Source organism: Homo sapiens, chromosome 10 (assembly GCF_000001405.40).
Source record: "Homo sapiens chromosome 10, GRCh38.p14 Primary Assembly".
In the NCBI taxonomy this organism is placed as follows: domain Eukaryota; kingdom Metazoa; phylum Chordata; class Mammalia; order Primates; family Hominidae; genus Homo; species Homo sapiens.
This window is the reverse complement of record NC_000010.11, coordinates 31,593,824-31,601,686: the sequence shown is the minus strand read 5'-3', so window position 1 is coordinate 31,601,686 and position 7,863 is coordinate 31,593,824. Positions and strand designations below refer to the sequence as shown.

General features: G+C 46.7%; 1 annotated feature.

Annotated features, from left to right (window-relative positions):
• Window positions 4,639-4,688: a silencer, noted in NCBI's record as "silent region_2277". NCBI's record gives its function as "represses an Ori minimal core promoter by ATAC-STARR-seq in GM12878 lymphoblastoid cells {active_cell/tissue: GM12878}" and the evidence as "EXISTENCE:reporter gene assay evidence [ECO:0000049][PMID:35858748]".

Here is a 7,863-nt window from a genome sequence, read left to right as displayed (position 1 = left end):
TGCATTTAAACTTTCAATGCACATTCCTGTAATCTGGGTCAGTGGATTTTTTAGGAGCCAGTGGGCTTTATTTTCTCCCCTATGAGTAGTAGGAATCAAAGGGAAAGGTCCCTTATATATGGTGTTTGAGTTTGGATTCCCCTTGAAACAAAATGTGAAACAAGAATCTGGGCATGAGTCGTATTTTTCAGAGGTGATACAGAAAGCGCTCTGAGCAGTGAGCAATAAAAGGTACATTATTGAATGGGTTATTGCTGGAGCACTCTGAGAGACCATGAGAACACTCCTCAGGATTGTCCTGCATTAGTTTCTGCGGGGCATCACCACTCCTGGTCTTCTGACTGTCCCCACTGTTATTTGAAAAATGTCTGCAGGTAAATGCTAAGGGAAGCCAAGGGGACACAGCTGGAACACCTACAGCTTCAGCCACAGAGGAATTACTACTCCTTTCCCCAAAGCCAAGCCAAGGGTGAGGTTACTCCAGGACAAAATTGCATAATGGGTTAAGTTTTGCATCAGTCTCTCCACCTTCTCCCCCTATTCCCTAAACCATCTCTTGATGCCAACCCCAGCTGGCCAAGGTTCCCAAGGCACAGCAAAGAGGTAGTTGGTCTTCTCAACAATTATTTAGAATGTTAGAAACAAGATTTTTTATTTTTCCAGGCATATTAATATTTTAAGACAGAAACCAAAGGAATTGATGACAGTGCTGGCATTTCAGGCACTGTGGCAGCTAAAGGTGTTTTTGGCAGGGGGCACCCAAGCCTGTGGTTGGTCCAGCAGAGAAATTCTGTGTGTCTTCTGAGAAGCAGGAGGTGAGAGGATGCAGGATGAAGGCAGAAGCAGAGTGGGAAGGAAGAGGCTGGTGACTTAGTTCCCTCACATGGATGACACTCGCTGGCCTGGCCATTTTAGAAAATGAAGCAATAAAGAGGATATAGGGCTGGATTTGTGGCTGGAGGGAATGAGAAAGAAGAAGTGAGCCATTCAGGTAGATCACCTGAGGTCAGGAGTTCGAGACCAGCCTGGCCAACGTGGCAAAACCCCATCTCTACTGAAAATACAAAAATTAGCCGAGTGTGGTGGCAGGCCCCTGTAGTCCCAGCTGCTCGGGAGGTTGAGGCAGGAGAATCGCTTGAACCCGGGAGGCAGAGGTTGCAGTGAGCCGAGATCATGCCACTGCACTCCAGCCTGGGTGACAGAATGAGACTCTGTCTCTTAAAAAAAAAAACAAATGAGCCACTGAGGCAAGAAGGAGTGAGATGGGTTGTTAAGAGAGGAAGAGAAGGCTAGGTGCAGTGGTTCATGCTTGTAATTCTAGCTGCTTGGGAAGTTGAGGTGGGAGGAGTGCTTGAGCACAGGAGTTCGAGACCACAGTGAGTCATCATAGTGACACTCCAACCTGGGTGACAGAGCAAGACACCATCTCTAAAAAAAATAGAGAAGAGTAGTTGAGTGGGAGAAGAGAACAAAGAAGAACCTCATTTGGGCTCAATCAGCTACTAACTTCTTCCCTTCCTACAGTCTTGGCTTTCTGTCTTCCCCTCTGGCCATTTCTGCTCAGAGTCCATTAGGGGTTCACTTTTTTCCTGCCTATCCCCTAACTGCTGAAGCCACTTAGAGTTCTCCAGCTGCACGTGATCTCTGAGAGATCAGTGTGCCACCATGGCCTCTGCCGCTGTCACGCACAGATGCTGCACAGATGGCTGGCCCAGCTTGCTCTCAGGAGCTCAGTTCCCACCCATCTAGAAGTTGGCAGAAGTTGAGGCAGTGGGAGGAATGTCGGGGCACACATTCCCTTTACCATGTGTGTTCTCTGGTTGTCTTCATATTCGAAAGCTAGTGTCCCCAGTTAAGTTGTTAGCTGCTTGAGCCTGAAGGCTGTGAATTTTACTCCCCAATCAGCCACATGCAGTGACTGTCAGACACTGGCTGAGTTGACCCTGTAGGAGTTTCTCTACAGGAGTACCATTCTGGGGACATGAGAAGGTGAGGTCGTGCTTCTACGCAGACACCTTTATTTTCACCAACACAGCCCCCTTCAACGGTCCACAGCTGCTAATTATCATCTGCTCCCCAAATCTAGCAGTCTCTTCCCAGTTCTCATTTTCCCTGTTCTCTTGGCGGCATCTGGCACTGTTTCCGGTTCCACCATCTTGAAACTCTTTCTTCTCTTGGCCTCCGTAACATTACACCCTCTGATGGTTCTTCTGTCCAAGGAGCTTTTGCCTTTCATCTCCTAAACATAGTTCTACCCTAAGATTCCATCCTTCAGAGCAGCATGAAGTAGTGGAAAGAATGCAGGCTTTGGAGCCAGAGTAACTGTATTTGCTCCTGGGATGCAACATTTATTAGCTGGGGACCTCTCTGAGCCTCAGTGTTTTCAACTGTGAAATGCTGATGATCGTAAGTGTGTTAGGCTGTTTTTTGTACTGCTATAAAGAAAACCTTGAGCCTGAGTAGATTATAAAGGAAAGAGGTTTAATTGACTCACAGTTCTGCAGACAGTACAAGAAGTGTGGTGCTGGCATCTGCTTCTGGAGAGGGCCTTGGGAAGTTTACAATCATGGTGGAAGGCAAATGGGGAGCAGAAATGTCACATGACGAGAGAGGAAGCAAGAGGTGGGGGGAGGTGTTACACCCTTTGAAATAACCAGATCTCATAAGAACTCCCTCATCACCAAGAGGATAGTGCTAAGCCATTCATGAGGAGTCCACCCCAATGATCCAATCACCCCCCACTGGGCCCCACCTCCAGCACTGGGGATAAGCTTTCAGTGTGAGATTTGGAAGGGACAAACATCCAAACGTTCAATGAAGTTTGAAGATACTGTAGGTAAAAGGCTTGGCACAAGGGAATTGCTAAATGCATGGAGGTTCTAGGTGTTCTTGAATGACTTTGCAAAAGATGACACAACCCCATATTGACTTGCTACTCACCTCAAGTGCAGCATGCCAGCTCTCCTCCATCCTTTTTTTGAGAAATGGTTATGCTCTGTCACACAGACTGGAGTGCAGTGGTACGATCATAGCTCACTGCAGCCTCAAACTCCTAGGCTCAAGCAATCCTCCCACCTCAGCCTCCCAAGTAGCTGGGACTGCAAGTGTGCACCATCTCAGCCTCCCAAGTAGCTGGGACTACAAGTGTGCACCACCATGCTCAGTTATTTTTTTTTTAAGTTTATTTTTTGTACAGACAGAGTCTCACTATGTTGACCAGGCTGGTCTCCAACTCCTGGCCTTAAGCATTCCTCCTGCCTCAGCCTCCCAAATTGCTAGGATTAGAGGCATGAGCCACTGTGCACAGCCCATCCTGGCTTCTCTCCCACATTCTGTGCCCATCTCTATGTATCTGCTCAGTGTTTCCACTTTTGATGCCCTACCGCGACCCCAGCATCAGCCTGCGTGAACTAGCCTTGTTGTCCTTCCTGCTCTCAGCCCGTCCTGCCAGGATTTCCACACTGCTGCTTCCCAGATGCTCCGTTTTGAAAACTTGGAGTCATCTTTAATTCAGCCATCTCCTTTGCCTTTCCTTTTGGAAGTAATGGTGATTATCAACAGGGTGCCTCCACGTACATTTCTGCCTTACTCTCAACAGTATGGTGAAGTAGGCTGTCATACAAATGACGCCTGGAGAGCCAAAATAATCAGCCTGAGGAGGGAGTGGGCTTATCTCATTTCCTGGAGATTCTCTCCATGGAATGACAGGCTGGTAATTCAAGATGCTGAAGTCTCTCCACCTGAAAAGCTAACTGATAAGCCTCCCCTAATGTCTCCCTTCAGCTCTCAGCCCTCTCTTGACTCCCCTTCACAAACCCAATTTGAAACTCATAGACCCTTCCAAGCTTGACTTACTCTCCTGTCTCTGGTTCCTCAGTCACTGCAATGTCACTTCCACCCCAACCACTGGAATGGCCTCACCAAAGTCGTTTATACCAAGCACACTTTGTAGCCCTCCCCACATGTGAGTCCTATTGAACCCTGCAGACAAACCCCTCTTCCTCAGAACAACCCTTGTTCTCTTAGTTTCTCTCCTAGATTTCCTTCTACTCTGGCTGTTCTGCCCTGGGTCTTTTTTTCAGCCCATCACTTGAATGCTGATAATCTTTGGGTTTTTGTTCTATGACATCTTCTCTTTTCAAACTACATCTTCTCTTTTGTTATCTCATTTACTCCCATGGCATCAGTTACCACCAATGTGTTGATGACTCCCAAATGTCTCTCTCTCTCTAGCCCAGATATTTCTGAAGATCTTATCTTAAGGTCTTCATATCCATCTGACTGTGAAATTCAGATCCTGGATCTGCCACTTAGCAGCTGGGTGACTGCAATGGTTGATTTTATGTGTTAGCTCCTTGACCGGGACATGGGGTACCAAGACGTTTGGTCAAACATTACTCTGGGTGTGTCTGTGAGGGTGTTTCTGGATGAGATTAACATTTGAAATAGTAAACTGAGCAAAGCAGAGTGCCCTCCCTAATGTGGGTGGCCCTGCTCCAATTTGTTTAAGGCCTAAATAAACAGAAGAGCTGAACCTCCTGCAAGTAGGCAGGAACTCCTCCTGTGTGACTGCTTGAGCTGGGGCATTAGTCTTTTTCTGCCTTTGGGCTTGAATGGAAACCTCAGCTCTTCTTGGGTGTTGAGCCTATGGTTTTTGGACTGGAACTCACGCCATCTACTGTCTTGGTTCTCAGGCCTTCAGACTTAGACAGAAATTACTGAGAGACAGAAACCACCACAGGTGGACCCACTTTGAGTTGGATAAGGGCCAAGAGTCCCTTTATTACTAGATCTTTACATAACACTACTGTAACAGGATCCCGGGGTGTGTGCATTAATTCATGCTCTGTATCTAACAGCCCTAAAAATATCTGGGTATTCTCCTGTCCACACTGTATGGTTACCTGGGCAAATGGCCATAGGTCCCTTTGGAGAAGGACTGAGGCATCACTACTGACTCACCCTTTTCTTTAGTTGATGGATATGGGTCTGAGAACTGGCTTAGGTCTGGATACTGGACAAGAAATTCTTATTATCCATTGGGGCTACTGATAGTTTTCTGCTAACCTATTCTTGATCTCTTTTGTTTATATATATTAGGCAGTACCTTTATTGGATGCCCATCTCTCTTGCCTCTGGAACTCCATGTCCTATTAATCATCCCCATGGCTCACTGTAGGTCAAGACCCCTGGCTGCCATCCTAAATTTGTTCCCTATTACAATAATTGTGCCTATATCATTTTTGACAATTAAGTGCTGCCATCCCCCACTGTTATCCCAGGATGCAGTATTGTGCTCATTACTACTAAAAAAGCCTAGTCTGTAACCACATCCCCTACCATCAGCCCCAGCCTTCAGAGAAAGTCACTACTTACTAAAATTTTTTGTTCGTGCTCCTCTTACCAGCACTCTCCTGAGCACCTTCACAGATATTTGTCCTCTAGGTTCTCTTCAGAAAAATAAAGTCAGGTCTTGAGTTTTCTAGTCTTACTCAGCAAATTTGTTCCAGCACATTCACTTCTGTGGCCTTTGATCCCTTCTTCCATAATCAGGCATGATGATTCTGGCATTGTTTTCTCTCAGCTTCTAAGAGCCATCTCAGTAGCATATTGGGACTTCCCTCTTTTGTGGGTCTCCCCTAGGCCCTTGCCGTGATGTTAAATCCATGTCACAGAAGAGTACTCCCGTATCAACAAACTTGTCTATTTTCAGATTCTTTCCCCCTTGATCAGCACCTTAAGATGCACCCCAGGCATACTTCTCCAGTTCCTGCTAGCACATATCAGTTGAATCCTGCAGCTCCTTTGGTACATAATTCTCCTCCTTTAGTAGGCCAAGCATTTGCCACATGGGCGATCATGGACTGAATTCTAGTCATGGACTGAATTCTAGTTATTGACCTGGCGGCCAGGAAAAAAATGGAGGGAGAAGATCCTAAGAGAGCAAGCATTGATCTGTAGGGCATTTTCACTGTTTGAGGCTTCTTCTAACGTGGTGGAGTGAACCACTTCTGCAAACCCAAAAAGTGCAGAGACAGTCGGGGACTTGAAGGTTCTCAAATGCATCTTCTTACACTTTGCTTCGAATTGGTAACTGATTGCCCAGAGCCTGTCATTTTCTCTCTTTAATGCATCAGTGGTATTCAGCAATAGTCATCACTCCTGCAGTTCTTATAATTACAATTTGCCCTATATCACCTACCTTCCTTCCTTTCTCTCTCTCTTCCTCTGTCTTTCCTTTCTCCCTTCCCTTCCCTTCCCTTCCCTCCCCTCCCTTCCCCTCCCTTCCCCTCCCTTCCCCTCCCTTCCCCTCCCCTCCCCTCCCCTCCCCTCCCCTTCCTTCCCTTCCAGACAGGGTCTTACTCTCACCAAGGCTAGGCACAGTGCTGCAATCATAGCTCACCACAACCTCAAACTTCTGGGTTCAAGCTATCATTCTGCCTCAGCTTCCCAGGACTACAGGTGCAAGCATTCAAGCCTGGCTAATTGAAAAAAAAAATTTAGAGACAGAGTCCAACTATATTACCCAGGCTGGTCTTGAACTCCTGGTCTCAATCAGTCTTCCTGCCTTAGCCTCTCAAGTAGCTGGGATTACAGGCATGAGACATTGCACCCAGCTTAACCTGTAACTCCTTTCAGCTCACCACAGGTGGAAGTCTTAGCAGTCGCATTGCTAGATCAGGCTGAGGCCTTTCAACATTCCACTCTACCACCAATAGTGGGGTTCACATTGGCAGCTAGCTGGCAAGCAATCAACTCTGGAGTATCAACCTTTAGAATTTACTCTGAAGAATATTCTTGGAACCAACTGCCTTAGGGTGGGTTTCCTAAAAGCAGAATCTGAGGCAGGGATTGGGGTGCCTGTGATTTACTGAGGGAGTGCACTTAGGAGAAAGAGAGTGAAAGGAGCAGGATGGGCCAAGCAAGTAACTTAAGCAGAGAGGTGATCTCAGCTGGAGTCCAGATACAGCTTGACCCCTCAGGGAGCTCTGGAGCATCACATAATCAGTCTCCCCTTGCAGCAAAGGAGCCAGCCCTCTGCACCCTCCTGGCAGTTGGTCATCAGCTGCAGCTTGGGGAGTGGGGGTGGGGCAGTGTAACCTCCTGTGCAAAGCAGCTCCTGGCTCCTATTTGGCTGAGGGCAATGCTCTGGTAGTTGGCAAATGGGTATACTGGCCTGTAAAGTGATCTGGGCAGAGCACTTGCAGCTCCTAAGATGATTTCAGTAAATAGCACCTCAGTCTACCAGTTGCTCAAGCTAGAAACCTAGGGATCATTTTTGTCTCCTTCCTTTTTCCAACCCTCGATCCAGTCCAATCAAGCTCCATAATATGTATTCAGTCTCTTAATTATTCCATTCGGTTTTTTTCCCTATTCTCATGGTCACTATCCAAGTTGACATCACCACCTTCTATTGTCTCCATTACTGTCACAGCTCCTAACTAACCTTGAGTTTATTATCTACAAGGCAGCCAAACAAATCTTTCTAAAATCCCTGTCCTTTCATGGTACTTCGTTTATTAACCCCTCAGGGCTCTACATTGCTCTTATGATCACTTCTAACTGCTTTATATGGCTTAAACCTTGGTTCTACTCACAATTCCTGGCTCTTACTACTCACAACCTTAAATAGCTGGACCAAGGGGGCTTGTTTTAGTTACTTAAATATGCTGTACCCTCTCTTGACTCTATGCCTTTGCACATATTTTTCTTCTGCCTGAAACACATTTATACTTCCCCTGATTACCTCCCATTCATCTTCATCTGCCTAGTTATCACTTGCCACCAATGCTGAGAAGCCCTCCTTACTCTTAGCCCTTGATTCCTGTAGCCCCCATACTTCCCCATCATTTCCCTCGTCCC